This window comes from Homo sapiens, chromosome 1 (assembly GCF_000001405.40).
Source record: "Homo sapiens chromosome 1, GRCh38.p14 Primary Assembly".
In the NCBI taxonomy this organism is placed as follows: Eukaryota; Metazoa; Chordata; class Mammalia; order Primates; family Hominidae; genus Homo; species Homo sapiens.
Genome location: NC_000001.11, coordinates 91482869 through 91500848, shown reverse-complemented (window position 1 = coordinate 91500848; position 17980 = coordinate 91482869). Strand labels below are relative to the sequence as shown.

Sequence of the window (17980 nt, the reverse complement as noted above, 5' to 3'; positions counted from 1 at the left end):
TTCCCGCCGCCGCTCTGGTTGCACATGCGCACACTAAAGCCCTCGACCCCGCGGATTCCGCTACTGGGCGTTTGCGCAAGAGGGTGGGGTTTCTTCCCGCCGCCTTGGCCAGCTAGAAGAGCGGTTACGGGAATGAAGCCCGTGGATGATCTTAAAAAACAGGGTGAACCATAAGGCTAAGGGCCCAGCATGATTTCCAGGAAAGAAGCTAGCTCAGAGAAGGAAAAATCTCAGGTGCTGACACATCCCTATATACGTGGCCGGCCGCACAACACATTGGGCACTCCATGGATAAAAGGCACTTTCTTGACTCTGCTTTTATTTCCTTTTCGTTGAGTGCCCTACTTCCCCGTTAAAAACAAGCAGAAAATGTAATTGCTGATTGTTTGTGGCTGTGTTAGTAGAAATTAGCACAGTGGCAGGAAGGCAGTGTATACTATTTACTGAGCCCTTGGCTATGAGGTAGGTGGGTTTTTCTAGGGGCTGGAATCATAGTGAGCAAGATAAACACCATCCCTGTAGGAAGCTAAATTCCAATGAAGCGATGACAATAACGGATGAATAAATGAACAGTATTCTTTCCGGCATTGATTACTACTTGAGGGAAATACTGACCAGGAAGGTGGCATCTAGATGGTCAGGGAAGCCCTCTCAAAGAGACCTGGATGAGAAAGAGCTGGTAGGGAGACTGTTGTCCTGGCAAAGAAAGGATAGGGCAAATGCAGAGAGAAAGAGGAACTTGGTATGTTGCAGGGGCAGGGCAGGAAAGGCCAGTGTGGGGGAAGCATAGTGAGTGAGCCGCAAGATAGTCCCAGATAGATGAAGGTGGAGAGTTAGGCAGAAGCCAGACCAGGGTCCTTGAAAGCCAGGGTAAGAAGTTTAGTGTTTGTTCTGAGTACAATTGGAAGCTATTTGAAAGTTTTAAAGCAAGGGAGTAATATGATCTATCTGTTATGAAGAGAATGGATTGTAGAGGGGCAAGTGTGGAAGCAGAGGAAATAGGATGCACTTTATGTTTAGGAGAAACATAATGGTAGTTTGGACCAGAACAATGGCGGAAGAAATAAAAGAAAGAAGACAATGGGATTTGGTGATTGGCTATGGAAAATGAAGAAAAGGGCATCATCAACAGTGAATCTTAGGTTTTGGGCTAGCATATGTGTGGGTGGTAGTGCCACATAGAAGGGAAGTCTGTGAGGTAATGGTTTTTGATTGAGTGAGGTGGAAGAGAGTAAATCAAGGATTCTAGTGTGGATACCGAGAAAGAGAAAAGCAGACCTTGACATCCAGGAGATGGCCTGGTACTACCAGCTTGGTTTGCTGTTGCTTTGAGCTGGCCTGGCAATCACAGCCAAGCATTGGTATTCTTCTGTTGAACATAAACAATTTCACAGAACATCAGACAAGACAGAGTTGTGACCGTGATAGATCAAGACAAAAGTAAGATCACTCTATAATCATATGTGAACACAGACACAACATCAACATTGCCCAAGCCATAAAAATGATCAAATATCTCCTTATCCTAGCTAATATGAGTGCCTGCTGCTTCTTTACCAATTATAGTTTTAACCTCAGTCTAGTCTTCCTTCCTTCTACATAATACTTATTAAAATACCCAATTATAGAATTATCCTTGCTTCCTTACAGCTTCCAATCCAGGCCAAAGTCCCTCTTTCTTGCACCCTTCCGTAAATCTCCTAACACAAACTCAAATTCTATAACAAGTCCTTTTTAACACCCTCTTCCTAAGACATCCCATGGTTCCCCATGGTGTGCATTCTCACGTACTGAAACAAGCAATACATCCAAGTTGCTCAGCTATAGTTGTGTTCCTGGTGGTCATTATCGGGAGGTCGTTAACAATAATCAAGTCCAAGATATGCAAGTGATGATGTCAAAGAAACAGATGAATATATTGGTCTGGGGTATAGTTCAGGGTGAAGAAATAAACTTGGCAGTTATGAATTTATAGATGAAACCTAGTCTTGGACTATACGATATTATCTAAGCAAAGATTGTAGATGGAGAGTTGGGCTATGATAACTTCCAACATTTCATAGTTGAGCAGAGGAGGAGGAAGAACCAGCAAGAGACTGAGAAGTAGTAGTCTGTGAGGTAAGAAGGTGATGTCATAGAAGTCAAGAGCAGAAAGTTTTACAATTAGAAGAAAGTGGTCAGCTATAGCAAATGCTTCACAGAAGTAGTGAGGATACAGAATTGATCAGAGATAGTCATTAGAGCCTTCAGAAAGAGCAGCTTTGGAGTGAGACAGAAAGACTATATTGAATTTATTGACGAACAAAAGATCTACAAATGGAGACAACTCTTGAGGTTTGGTTTGTTTCTTAGTTTGGTTTCTTGTCTTTATTGGGGGGTAGGGCGCACAAATAGAATAGTGGCTACAGTGTCAAATTGTTTATAAACTTTATACTAGCCGTGTAACTTGGGCAAGTTATTCAATATCTGTGACACTCCTATTTCAAAAATGTAACATGGATAAAATACTTGCTTGGTTTTGCTATAGGGATTAAATTAGATAAAGTGACATAATACATGTAAAGTGCTTGGTCCCATAGGCCTGGACATTGTTAGCTTGTATTAGTTAATTTATAATGGGTACTTTTTCCCCCTTTGTCAATGATCCCATCCCTAATACCTAGCACATGGCTGTTCACATAGTATGGATTTAATAAATGGCTATGGAATTAATGTACAATGAGAAGTTAGGTTTTATTTATTTATTTTTATTATTCATTCATTTATGTATTTACTTAGTAGAGACAGAGTCTCGCTCTGTTGCCCAGGCTAAAATGCAGTGGCATGATCATGAATCACTATAGCTCCGAGGCTCAAGCAATTCTCCTGCCACAGCGTCCCAAGTAGCAAGGATTACAGCTGTATGTCACCATGCTCAGCTAGACATTAGGTTTCAAATGGTTGGTTGCACTTATGTCTCCTGTAAGCAGATTGGAGGTGGAGATAGATTGTTTAATAAAAATTATTATTTAGAGATGTTGATAACTACATACACACAGTTTTCTTTAGGGTCAGACCAGTGCCTTTACCATTTTTCCTTCATAACATGTTTATTCTGCCTCCAGGTCTGTTTGTGCTGCATGTGCATGTGTGTGTGTGTGTGTGTGTGTGTGTGTGTGTGTGTGTGTGTCTTTTTGTCTTTTGTTTCTATCTCTGCATCCTCCAAAGTCAGTGAAGTTTTCTTTAGATAGCCTAGCCCAGGATCTGTCCCTTCCCTAACTCACGGCTGACCCATTATGGGCTGGAAGAAGTTACTAACTCAGAGTTAGCAAGAAAAGCCATGGACCTGTTTGTGCCAGTGAGATTGTGGATCTGTGCTATTGCAAAGGGATCCTGCCCTCCTAAGTGTCCTCTTGTCTTAGAGGGAGCACATGAGAACAATCTTATTAGTAGACTTCAAACTACTTAGGCACCAGGTAATCTGCATTTAGAAGCCAAGTGATTCTAAGAGTTGTCTGGGAAAACCAGATGCCCAGCTACTGGAGACCTTGAGGCCTGTGGAAATTTGAGTTGGGTGCAACTTCTCACTCTGGGAGAAATGGGGAGTCTCTGGTCAGTTGTACGGTGAACTCAGAATAGGTTCCCAGAACAACTTTCAAATAATTTTGCTCATCTCTCTCTCCATGAATGTCCCTACTAAAGGACACACCCCGCCCCCCCACACACACACCAAAAAAAAAAAAAAAAAAAAAAAAATGACTAGGAAAGAAAGAAATGACAAAGGAAAAGTTAGTGGAAGTCTTATCCCCCTTTCCACTATTATATATATAAATAGCTGACACACTGTCTTAGAACCTCCTATCTTTAAGGAATTTATTAACCTAGGATAGAAATAAAGCAGACCGGGTGTGGTGGCTCATGCCTGTAATCCCAGCACTTTGGGAGGTTGAGGCGGGCAGATAGCTTAAGTCCAGGAGTTTGAGACCAGCTTGGGCAACATGGTGAAATACTGTCTCTACAAAAAAATACCAAAAAATAAAAATAAAAGTAAAAAGGATTAGCTCAGCATGGTGGCACATACCTGTAGTCCCAGCTAATTGGGAGGCTGAGGTGGGAGGATTGCTTGAGCCTTGGGGGTTTAGTCTGCAGTGAGCTGTGATGGCACCACTGCACTCTAGCCTCGGTGACAAAGCAAGACCTAGTCTTAAAAAAAAAAAAAAAAAGAGATAAAGTAAAGGAAATACACAGCTTTTGAAACTGAACAGAAATTATTTCTTAGGGCAATGCCAAGTAAATGAAGAAATTCCTAGGTTATAAAATGAAATTCTAGCCAGGCATTATAAAGTATACCAGGACGAAACACTTAGAATTTAATGGGGAAAATTTTTATTTCAAAAACAAAATTGCAAATTATTTAAAAATCTAAAAGGTATGAATCAATTCTGAAACTACAATGAAACAGCAAGAAAATTTGAAATACTCAAAGGTCCACAAATTTACCAAAGTTTGATTTCTCAATTAGTAATGTAGGACAGAAAAAAACTGCCTACAGGATTGTTACACAAACCAAATAATATTTAAAGCTTCTAGGAGAGCTCATGGAAGACACCTAACATTTGAATTTATTTTTTCATTCAATGAATGCCTTCTCACACTTGCTGTGCCCAGCAACACAATAGGTACTTGTAATATGCAAATGACTAAAAAGAGGACTCCACTCTTAAGTAGCTTGATATATATCTAATGGCTGAAGTGGACAGTTTTCATATTTATCTTTTATGACCCAGCATGGAGCATGTCTTTCTCAGGGAAGCCTCACCAACTGAATAGGTTGAGTTCCTGGGTGCGTGCTTCCCTAGCAACCTGTACTCCAGCTTTTATCACAGTAACATGAATAGCACTTATTCCATGTTATTCATTTATTTGACAAATTCAACAACATTGGAAAAATATTCACTGACCGCATATATGTCAATTACTGTGTAAGAGAATCTCATCATCGTCATTGTCATCATGGCTAACAGTGACATAGAGCTCACCACATGCCAAGCACTCTTCTAAACAATACACATTTATTAATTACTTGACTTGAGCAACAACTCTACGAGGGGGTGATTAACTTTGGGTCAGAAAGTTTTTCTGGAAAAGGAAAGTCCACGCTGGGTTTTGAAAAATTGATAGGAGCTTACCAGGTCAACAGGGTAAGGAAGAGATACTCTGCTACGCATTCTAAGAAGATTGAAATAGACAAATGTTTCCAGGGAACTGTAAGTTGTTTGGTATTACTTTAGCCCAAACAGCAAGAAAAATACTGGTAGGAGGTGAGCTAGAGAGTAGACACGGACATATCATGAAGTTTCTTGTGTGCTGTTCTCAAAATGAGGGCTATAGAGAACTAATGAAGGGTATTAAATAGGAGAGAGAGAAATAGACTTAATTTATTGAGATTACTTTAGTGTAGGAAATAAACTATAGGAGGAAGAGGCTATAAGCTGAGTGACCTATTCAATAAATGTTTAGAGATGGAGAGTGACATATTCTCACTTATAAGTGGGAGCTAAATAATCTGTACGCATGGACATAGAGTGTGGAATGATAGACATTGGAGATTCAGGAGAATGGGAGGGTGAGAGGGGTGTGATGGTTGACAAATTTCTTAATGGGTACAATGTACATTATATGGGTCCTGGATACACTAAAAGTCCAGACTTTACCGCTATGCAATATATCCATGTAACAACTCTGCACTTGTATCCCTTAAATTTATACAAATATAAGAAGAGAGAGAAAGAGAGAGAGAGAACTTAAAATAGATGACCTGAAATGGTCTCTTTTGGAAAAGCTTCAATTTTTTTAGTCTCCTCTACATGAGGCCTTATGCAGCATATAGGACGTTTCTATTCTGTGTTTATTTCTCCTTAAGAGATGAAAAAAAGAGACTAAGCACCTAGTTTGATTAAGTACAAGGCTTACAAGAAAGCAAAAGTAGCAACCCTGATCTCATCATTGCTGATTGACAAGAATGTTGTTTGTAGCATTACCAAATGTGGTCTCCTTTGCAAGAGAAAGCAGTTGAAGTAATAATAACCAGGTCAGTGATTCTAACAAGTGGATCATAGGAACAAATTAGCCAATGAAAATACATCCCTTTCTCTCTGATGTAGCTTTTTGGAGGAGGTGGATTAGTGAGCAGTGGGTCCCTGTTGGATGAGGGGTTAGGGAAGGGATGGCCTGAGCTCTAAACATAGGAAGGGCTTCCATGCATATCCTACATGTCTGGATGATGGATTGAGACTTGACTCTGCCATTTTTTGGCTTCCTCCTGAAGATGATAGTCAGTAGCAGTCAAAGTCATGGTTCAAGAAGGGTCACTAACATAGCACTTTCCTCTAGACACACCTCTCCTTAGAAAAACACCCAAAACAGAGTATTCTTCTTTGGAGTCAACAGTGGGAGAGTATGAACAAATAGAATAGATACTCCCTGCACACAAGGTATGGGCTCACAACAAGAGCTAGCCAGCTGGTGACAGCACTTTCTCTGTGGCCCACTGCTCCTCTAAAATAGGCCTGTTTCTGTATAAGAACCTGGTGAATTATTGAGAGGGAATTGGGATAAGTTGTTCTGCCCTCCACCCCTTTCCTCAGGGTACAGCTGGAATTGAGGTAAGTACATAATATCTAAGTTTAGGCCTATATTAGAATAATGAGGGAAATGGACACTTTGGGCCACTTAATGAGGTAAATGGACATTGAATGAGGTAAAAGAACATAGTACTGGCATTGAGGGACATAAATTCTAGCAACCAAACTGGGAGACTTCTCTCTCATCCAAGCATCCCAAACAAAAATGAGAAAAGTTCAATAGCAGTGCTATAAGGGAAAACCTCCGCAATTCCTTCTTGATCCCATTTGATATATATTTGAATTATTGACATAATGAATGTAAGGGAAGGGGATGCATTTGATGCACACTGTCATAGGCACTGAGTTGGGCACTGTAGTAAGATCTTTTTATGTGTTATCTTATTAATTCTTTAATTATTGGACTTATTTTATAGATCAGAAATATTAGCTTTAGAAAAGACTGGCCAGGCGCAGTGGCTCACTCCTGTAATCCCAGCACTTTTGGGAGGCTGAGGTGGGTGGACTGCATGAGCCTAGGAGTTTGAGACCAGCCTGGGTAACAGGGCGAAACCTCATCTCTAGTAAAAATACAAAAATTAGCCAGGCATGGTGGTGCACACCTCCAGTCCCAGCTACTTGGGAGGTGAAGGTGGGAGGATCACCTGAGCCTGAGAGGTCGAGGCTACAGTGAGCTGAGATCATCAGGCTGCTGCACTCCAGCCTGGGAGGCAGAGCAATCCTGTCTTAAAAAAAAAAAGATTAAGTAAATACCGATGACAACAAGCCAGTAAGTGGCAGAGCTGAAATTGGAATCTAGGATTCTTTGAACACAAAGGTCTTCATTTGGATTAGACCTCAACTATATATTTTTTCCTTTTTATTGTGGTAAAATACACATAACATACAGTTTACCATCTTAACCATCATTAAGCATACTACAGTTCAGTGGTATTAATACATTTACGTAGTTGTGCAACCATCACCACCATCCATCTCCAGATCCCTTTTCACCTGGTAAAACTGAAACTCTACACCCATTGAACAATAACTTCATTCCCTAGTCCCCCAGACCCTGGCAACTACCATTCTACTTTCTGTTTCTATGAATTTGACTACTCTAAGTAACTCTGGCAGAATCATACAGATTTGTCATTTTGTGGCAAGCGCATTTCACTTAGCATAATGTCCTCAAGGTTCATCTGTGTTGTAGCATATGTCAGAATTTCCTTCCTGTTTAAGACTACATAATATTCCATTGTATGTAGATGCATCGTGTGCATCTACAACCTCTGTATCTGTGGATTTCACATCTGTGGGTTCAACCAACTGAGATTGAAAATATTCAGGGGGAACTATAGATGTTTGCATCTGGACTGAACATATACAGATGTTTTTTCTTGCCATAATTCCCTAAACAATACAGTATAACAACTATTTACATATCATTTACATTGTATTAGGTATTATAAGTAATCTAGAATGATTTAAAATATATGGGAGGATTGGATAGATTATGTGAAAATACTACACCATTTTATATAAGGGACTTGAGGATCTGTGAATTTTGGTATCTGTGAGGGGTCTGGTAACCAATCCCCCATGGATACCAAGGGATGACTGTATCACATTTTGCTTATCCATTCATCTGTCATGAACAGTTGGGTTGCTTCCATGTTTTAGCTATTGTGAATAATGCTGCTATAAACATTGGTATACATGGGAGACCCTTTTGATTCTTTTGAGTATGTACCTAGCGGTGGAATTGCTAGATCATATGGTAATTCTATTTTTAGCTTTTGATGAACTACCATACTGTTTTCCACAGCAGCTGCACCATTTTACATTTCTACCAACAGTGCACAGAGTTCTAATTTCCCCATATTTTTGCCAACACTTTTTTTTTTTAATGGTGGCCATCCTAATGGATGTGAGGTGGAATCTCACTGTGGTTATGACTTGCATTTCCCAAGTAATTTTTGATGTTGAGCATCTTTTCATGTGTTTGTGACCATTTGTATATCTTCTATGGAGAAAAGTATATTAAAGGCTTTTTCCAATTTTTTGAATTTTTTTAATTGTTGAATTTTAGGAGTTCTTTTATATTCAGGGTATTAATCCCTTATCAGATGTATAACTTGACAATATTTTCTCCCATTGTGTGGGTTGACTTTTTACTTTATTAATAGTGTCTTTTGATGCACAAAGATTTTGTTTTGTTTTTACTCCCCAAAGGAAACAATCCCAAAAGCTTAAATTTTCATAAAGTACAGTTTGTCTATTTTTTCCTTTTGTTGCCTGTGCTTTTGGTGTCACATTCAAGAAATCATTGTCAAATCTAATGTTGAGAAAATTTGGCCCTTTGTTTTCTTCTAAGAGTTTTATGGTTTTAGCTCTTTGTTTAGATCTTTGATCTATTTTGAGTTAATATTTGTAGATGGTGTTAGGTAAGGGTCCAACTTCATTCTTTTTTTTTTTTTTTTTTTTTTGAGATGGAGTCTCGCTCTTTTCACCCAGGCTGGAGTGCAGTGGCACGACCTCGGCTCACTGTCACCTCCGCCTTCCGGGCTCAAGTGATTCTCCTGCCTCAGCCTCCTGAGTAGCTGGGATTACAGGTGCCTGCCATCACGCTCGGCTAATTTTTGTACTTTTAGTAGGGACGGGTTTCACCATTTTGGCCAGGCTGGTCTCGAATTCCTGACCTCAGGTGATCTGCCCGCCTGGGCCTCCCAAAGTCCTGGGATTACAGGTGTGAGCCACTGTGCCTGGCCCCAACTTTATTCGTTTGCATGTGGATATCCAGTTTTCCAGGAGATCTCAACTATATATTTTTTAAAGTTTTTTCAACTTGGCTAGCAAATAACTTGCTCAGGCTGACTTCAATTTGAAATTCAATTTTCAAGTACAGGTAACTTCATGCTCTATTATTGAAAAAAAGATACTAATTTTTGTCCTATTGTCCTGTAGCAGTTTAAAGAGATACAAATCTCTCAGGAGTAGATTAAAGACAATTTTTTTAAAAGGAACCCAAACAGTTGAGTATAATAATTATTTATCTATCTAGTGTTGTTTTATATCTATTCATTTATCTTTTTTTTTTTTTTGGTGGTACCTGTGGCTAGTTGCAACCCAATTTCAAAAACTAAAAACGTGAAGAATGGGAACTTGGTAAAAAAAAAACCTGCAAATCTACCAAGGGAGAAAAAGTATTTATAGTATGAAATAAATATGTTGCACCTAAAGGTAATTACAGCATGCAAAGAAAACAAATAACACATATTTTCCTCCTAAGATATACAGATTTCAAACACTCTGGAGAAAAAAATCCTGTTATTATTACTAAAATTCAGAGAGACTCACAGGACCAAATTCATATTTTAAGAATTTAAATGCAAACTTATGAAAATTGAGATTTCTGTACATTCCCAGGGCTCCAGTATATAGTCAAATACTATTAGGACTGGGAGGTCAAGGAGCAAGTACTGTGATATGTCAAGTTTCGTCTCCAGGGACTGAAACTTGCTAGCATCTGGTACTACTCTGAAATGTGCTGATTATATCAGTTCAGCTATTAATGGGAAAAATATCCAGTATGATGAAATCTTAATGGCTTGACTTCCAATTGTTTGTTATCTTTAAAGAAGATGATTTAAGATTTTGAAAAATCCCTAGAAATTTCAAGTTCAGGCCCTTTGTGTTGGTGCCTTTTTGCTGGAAAAGAAATATGCTTAAGAGCACATTTTAAAAACGATGTATCAATACTATACAAAACTTTTCATATTCTTATGTGTTTTAAAATTACAGAATAAGATTGTAATTAGCCAATATTGATTTTTTAAAAACATAAAGTTGTGACTGTCCATTATTTAAGACAATTTACTAAGATATAACTTAATACAGCAATATTAATTGGGGTTTAATGCTAGTGGTTTTTCAGATTTAGAACAATTATCTGCTTAGTTTCAAGTTTTAAATATAAAATTTTATCCCAAAGAAGAATTTTCCAGTTAGGCTATCCATCACTGCCCCTTCTCCAAAATACTAACATAAATTTATTTTATTTTATTTTATTTTTGAGATGGAGTCTCGCTCTGTCTCCCAGGCTGGAGTGCAGTGGTGCTGTCTCAGGTCACTGCAACCTCTGTCTCCCAGGTTCAAGTGATTCTCCTGCCTCAGCCTCCTGAGTAGCTGGGACTACAGGCATGTGCCACCATGCCCGGCCAAAGTTTGTATTTTTAGTAGAGATGGGGTTTCATTGTGTTGGCGAGGTTGGTCTCAAACTCCTGACCTCAGGTGATCTGCCCACCTTGGCCTCCCAAAGTGCTGGGATTACAGGCATGAGCCACCATGCCTGACCCTAAAATAAATTTTAAATGGAGGCATAGGCACAATTAACTTTGAAGCTTTAAATATAGTGATAAACTTGACTCTCGTAAGTTTGAGTTTGGAGCATCACAGTGGTCTGAGAACTATAGACCAAATCCCCTGTGGGACAAATCCAGCCTGTCACCTGTTTTTGTACACACTGCAAGCTAAGAATGGATTTTACACTTTTAAGTTATTGAAAAAAATGTATAAAAGAATATTTGGGACACATGAAAATTATATAAAAATCAAATTCTAGTGTTCATAAATAAAGTTTTATTGGAACACAGCCATGCTCATTTGTTTGGTATTGTCTATGGCTGCTTTCACTCTACAATGGCAGAGGTGAGTTGAGTAGCTGCCACAGAGATGTGTGGCCCACAAAATCGAAAATATTTACTAGCTGGCCCTTTATGCGAAAAGTTTGCCAACTTGTGAGCGTCATAATTGCAGCTTGCATTGTGAAGTCAACATACAAATAAACCAAATGTCACTAAGGCGTGCAGAAGAAATTTTTACCATACAATACATCAGTTGTTTAATATGGAGAAACAAAGCACACAAATATTTACTTAGTATTTGTTAATTACAACAGCTCAGAATTGTGACTAGTGCTTTCTAATGGTAGTTTCTTTTTCTTGACAAGAGAGCAGCAGCTTAATCTTTCTATGTGAAAAAATACACTTGTCCCATGATCCTCCACAAGGCAGGAGATGGAGGAAATATTGCAGGAGTCTCTTTGCTGAAGTCTTTGTTAACAGCATGACCATGGATGGACAGTGACTGGCATTTAATTTTGACATGAGGAGGGAGGAGAAGCCAGCAATACTCAGTGCCTCTATTAAAGTGAAGGGAAAGACACACAGAGTCTTTTCTTGCTGCCACTTGTGTAGCTGGGAATGGGTTGTGGTAAAGTCAATAAAATTCTTCAACATCCTTCAATAACAATGATTCTAGTCCTTCTGAATGGTTCAAATTCTATGTTGATACTTATGTTCTCTAGTACATTATTCTCTCTCTAGCCACATGAAAAGGCTAGAGTACCACAAATGTCTCAAAATTTAGAGCTCCAAATTATGACACCTCTTTAGAAAGCTGGCAGGTCCTCTGGGTACTACAAAACTAGGGTTATATCCTCACTACCTAGAAATATCCCCTTGTGGTCATCTCTCAGAAAGGGTAACAGTGATCTCAGAGAATATGCTGTAGGGAGCTAAAAAGGATCCCTTGCCTTCTAAGCACCCTGAAGATCGTGAGCTGTATGTTTTAAGAATATATAGCTGGCCAGGTGCGGTGGCTGATATCTGTAATCTCAGCATTTTGGGAACCCAGAGCAGGTGGATCACTTCAGGTCAGGAGTTGGAGACCAGCCTGGCCAACACATCAAAACCCCGTCTTTACTAAAAATACAAAAATTAGCTGGGTATGGTGGTGAGAGCCTGTAATCCCTGCTACTGGGGAGGCTGAGGCCTGAGAATCACTTGAACCCGAGAGGCGAGGTTGCACTCCAGGCTGGGTGACAGAGTGAGACTCCGTCTCAAAAAAAAAAAAAAAAAAAAATATATATATATATATATATATGTATAGCCACTGTTTCTTCCAGCCATCACATAGCTAAGAAAATGGCTGAATGTGGCTACCAAAAAATAAAAGAGAAGGGAAAACAGAGGCCCAGGAATGAGAATGAACAGTGTCTCCTAGCATGTGATGTATAAGCATATCACCCCAAATAAATAGCAGTCTTACCAATAAAAATAAAAATTAAAAACACAATTATATTCAATTTTTAGATCCTGTAAGCAGACAAAATTATATTCGATTTTTAGATCCTGTGTTTAGATGAGTATTATTTAAACACTCATCTTCTATATTGCAAGAAATCACATCTCTGTGATCTATACTATGTTCCTGTGTTTCAATATTTCTGGTATGAAGCACATCTGGAACTTGTCAAAGAAAGTTAACTTTACAAGGTAGTTCCTTGTAGCAAGACCCCTGGCCAATGAGTTCTTTCTACCACATTTCCACTGTAGTTCACTCATGAGTAGTTACCATGAATATTAAACGTGAAGGATAAGTTCTCTTAAAGTTTACATTTTCCTTGAACAAATTGAGCACTTTATCATAAAATTGCTCTAACAACAAGCATTCCAAAATTTCTTTTTTCTTGTAAACCTTGAATAGACAGTTTTAGAAATGAATGTGATCACGTGATATGCCCACTTCCCTCTTTCGTGCCATTTTGTGGTTATGATTTTATATTTGACCTTTTTCAATATGAGGTTAGGAAGTCCTATGAAAGAAATTAATATAGGACTGATAATAGGGACTGATATAGTTTGGATGTTGTCCCCTCTAAGTGTCATGTGGAATTGTAATCCCCAGTGTTAGAAGTGGGGCTTGGTGGGAGGTGATTGGATCATGTGGGTGGGTTTCTCATGAATGGTTTAGCCTCATCCCCTAGGTGCTGTCCTCGTGATAGCGAGTTCTCAAGAGATGTGGCTCTTTACAAGTGTGCAGCATCTTTCCTCTGGCTCTCGCTTGCTCCTGCTTTTGCCACGTGACATGCCTGCTCCTGTTTCGCCTTCCACCATGAGTAAAAGCTCCCTGAGGCCTCCCCAGAAGCTGAGCAGATGCTGGCACCACACTTGTACAGCCTGCAGAACTGTGAACCAATTAAACTTCTTTTCTTTATAAATTACCAAGTCTCAGGTATTCCTTTATAGCAATACAAGAACCTCCTATAACATAGGGACTAAACATTCTTCTTAAAGCACCTGAGATGTTTTGGGATTCTGTCAAAACTCAACATCCCAGACTTTTGGTACTATTCAGTTTTGGTACATCCGGCACTGATGCAGTAATAACTCTTCAAGCATTCAGAATGTTAACTTACACTAAAATATGAATTGCTAAAGCTAGGACATATAAGATAGTGTCTGTCTGGGTTCCCCCAAAGCCCAGCAACATTTATTAAACAATGTGATTCCAGGGAGCAGGCATACAAAACAGGAAGGAGGAGAAGCCAAGATGAGTATGTATTAAATATTAAGGGTTTAGCCACTCCTGTGGATGACTGGCACACAATGCTGCAGTGTCTTCTGAGGAGGCTTTTGAAATGTATTGTAGAATTTTTCACCTCAGTTTAAAAGGGGAAGCAAATATTTATCCATTAGTGTCTGTCCCTCATGGGTCAACTCCCTCTCCCTTGCCAGAATGCTGAGTGGGTTCCTATGGGTGTTCTATATAGGGGTGCCAGAGGTTCCCCAGGGCAGACAGCTAGAGGAACACTTCACAGGTTGAAGCAAGAATACTATCGAATCACTTCTGCACAAACTTAGTTGAGGTCTACAGGAAACAAGCAGCAGCAGCAGTGGCTGAAGTGAGAGGTCTGGCTGGTAGGATTGAAGTGGTGCACTGTCCAGAGCTGGGAAGGGTTTGAATTTTACCCTACTTGCAAGCTAACAAGTTTGCCTGTCACAGTTTCATGGGCACTGGCAGAAGGCATGAGACTGCTGAATCAGACAAAGACTTTATTCCATACGATACAGCAGGCAGCCTGAATTTCATGTTCATGTTAGCACCTCTTTCCTCCAACTTCCACTAGGACAACACAGAGGGGAGTCCAAGTGGATGTGGCACATACAGCGTGAGGAATACCTGAGATATTCCAAGCTTAACAATCCTCAATCTTTTGTATGACAGCCCCCAGCAAAACTGCCTAGCCTTTTCCCTGGTAGAAACTTGGCCTTCATTTTGCTGGTGCTATGGTTTGAATGTGTCCCCTACAAAATTCAGGTATTGCCAATGTGATATTATTAGGAGGTGAGGCCATTAAGAGGTGATTAGGTCATGAGGGCTCCTCTCTCATGAATGGGATTAGGTACCCTGATAAAAGGGTCTGATTAGAGAGCTTGTCCCTTTTGCCCTTCCACGTTATGTCATGTGAAAACACTGCATCCTTCCTCTCTGGAAGGTGAAACCCTCACCAGACACCTAAGGTTGGTGCCTTTCTTGATCATAAACTTTCAGCCTCTAGAACTGAGAGAAATTTCTGTTCCTTATAAGTTACCCAGTTTGTGGTATTCTGTTATAGCAGCACAAGCAGACTAAGACAACTGGCCAGCAAAAAAATCTGTCCTCCAAGGCAGAGAGATATATTATCTTTTTTTTTTTTTTTTTTTTTTTAGTATTTATTGATCATTCTTGGGTGTTTCTCGGAGAGATATATTATCTTATTTTTCCAAAGCTGTCTGCTATACAAACACCTTCAAAAAGATAGTCTGGAACAAAAGCTACTCGGAAGACATGCATAAATGTGAGAGATCAATAGGGAATCATCTTCCAGGATGCACAAGAAGTGTTCAATACTAGTGATGTTTAACTGGTTTAAGTAATAGAGACGTTTCATCTTTTGACACTGGTCACCTTGCTTAATTAGATAGTCTTTGCAGAGCCTCTTGTTTCCAGGTGTGGAGAATTCACACCATAATCTGAGCTATCCTAAACTGTGAAAAGATGTAGAAGTTCTATGGGACTGTCTTGACTCTCATCCATTCTCCATACTGTTGTCATGATTAACTACATGTACTTATGTCATACTGCCAACTTGTCTCAAGCATATTGTATAAAATTGAGTTTATAGAGATTTATGTTTGACACAAAGGTGGGGAATTTTTAGTTTTTGAGTGGCAGTAAAGAAAAGAAGATATGTAAGTTTTAGCAACTTTGTCTCACTGATAAAAGTATTCAAATTACCTATTCTATACTATCTATAGGCTGTAAATAATTTTACTTTTGGAGTAACTTGAAGAAAGGAATAATATCTTGTTCATTTTTCACTGTTGTCTAGCACAATACCTGGCATATGATAGATACTTAAAAAGATATTTGTTGAATAGATTATTAAAGGAAAACACAAAAGACTAAAGTCATCTACAAGAAAAGATAAAGAGAAAAAAGAAATGTAAATACCAATATTGAAATATACTGTTGCGGGAAGTCAGGGACCCCAAACGGAGAGACCGGCTGAAGCCATGGCAGAAGAACATAAATTGTGAAGATTTCATGGACATTTATTAGTTCCCCAAATTAACACTTTTATAATTTCTTATGCTTGTCTTTACTGCAGTCTCTGAACATAAATTGTGAAGATTTCATGGACGCTTATCACTTCCCCAATCAATACCCTTGTGATTTCCTATGCCTGTCTTTACTTTAGTCTCTTAATCCCATCATCTTCATAAACTGAGGAGGATGTATGTCGCCTCAGGACCCTGTGATGATTGTGTCAACTGCACAAATTGTTTGTAGAGCATGTGCGTTTGAACAGTATGAAATCTGGGCACCCTGAAAAAAGAACAGGATAACAGCAATGTTCAGGGAACAAGGGAGATAACCTTAAACTCTGACTGCCGGTGAGTGGGGTGGAACAGAGCCATATTTCTCTTGTTTCAAAAGCAAATGGGAGAAATATCACTGAATTCTTTTTCTCAGCAAGGAACATCACTGAGAAAGAGAATACGTCCCTGAGGGGAGGCCTCTAAAATGGCCACTTTGGGGGCAGCTATCTTTTACGGTCACAGCTGTAGGGATGAAATAAGCCCCAGTCTCCTGCAGTGCTCCCAGACTTATTAGGATGAGGAAATTCCCGTCTAATAAATTTTGGTCAGACCGCTTGTCTGCTCTCAAACCCTGTCTCCTGATAAGATGTTATCAATGACAATGCATGCCCGAAACTTCATTAGCAATTTTAATTTCGCCCTAGTCCTGTGGTCCTGTGATCTCGCCCTGCCTCCATTTGCCTTGTGATATTCTATTACCTTGTGAAGTATGTGATCTCTGTGACCCACGCCCTATTCGTACAATCCCTCCCCTTTTGAAAATCACTAATAAAAACTTGCTGGTTTTATGGCTCGGGGGGGCATCACGGAAACTGCTGACATGTGATGTCTCCCCTGGACACCCAGCTTTAAAATTTCTCTCTTTCTTTCTCTGTCCCTTTATTTCTCAGACTGGCTGACACTTAGGGAAAATAGAATAGAACCTATGTAAAATATCGGGGCTGAATTTCACCCAATAATATAGCACTCCATGGTATATTTGTTAGGGATATTGCTATTTTTTTTCTACTTGCTGTGGTTTGAATATTCCCTTCAAAACTCATCTTGAAATCTAATTGCCATTGTAACATTATTAAGAGGTGGGGCCTTTAAGAAACGATTAGGTCATGGGGGCTCCACCTTCCTAAATGGATTAATGCTATTATCATGGAAGTAGGTTAGTTATCACAGTAAGACTTCTTTATAAAAGTGAACTCTCTCTCACATGTGCTGTCTTGCCCTTCTGCCTATCTGCCATGTGATGTTGTACAGAAAGGCCATCACAAGATGTGAGCACCATGCTCTTGAACTTCCCAGCTTCTAGAACCATGAGCTTAATAAACCTTTCTTTATAAATTATCCAGTCTGTGGTATTCTGTTATAGCAATAGAAAATAGACTAAACACTACTTAAACCCTCCTGTCCATATCAAGCAGACAGTAAATATTTATGAGCACTTATATGGTGAAATTATTTTACCTTTATGGATAAAAGAAGATCTCTTGACTTTTTCCAATGTCACATTCTCTATAAAGAGCCATAATTTGGCCAGGCATGGTGGCTCATGCTTGTAATCCCAGCACTTTGGGATGCGGAGGCAGGTGGATCACCTGAGGTCGGGAGTTTTAGACCAACATGGCCAAAATGGTGAAACTCCATCTCTACTAAAAATACAAAAATTAGCCAGGTGTGGTGGTGCGCACCTGTAATCCCAGCTACTCGGGAGGCTGAGGCAGCAGAATTGCTTGAACCCAGGAGGCAGAGGTTGTAGTGAGCTGAGATCGTGCCACTGCACTCCAGCCTGGGTGACAGAGCACTACTCTGTCTAAAAAAAAAAAAGAAAGAGACATAATTTATTTGGCAGGTAACACATTACAGTAGATAGCTCATATGAACTTTATGATCAGACTA

At 39.5% G+C, this 17980-nt stretch overlaps 1 long non-coding RNA gene across 2 annotated transcripts; it reads left to right on the top strand.

Moving 5' to 3' along the window:
* On the top strand, nt 1-11828 carry LOC105378856 (uncharacterized). Of its 2 annotated transcripts, XR_947599.4 has the most exons (3): nt 1-2334; nt 9725-9845; nt 11614-11828. It is a non-coding gene; the product is annotated as an uncharacterized LOC105378856 (long non-coding RNA). The 2 variants fall into 2 exon arrangements; XR_007066221.1 differs by lacking the exon at nt 9725-9845.
* Nucleotides 11829-17980: the final 6152 nt, after the last annotated feature.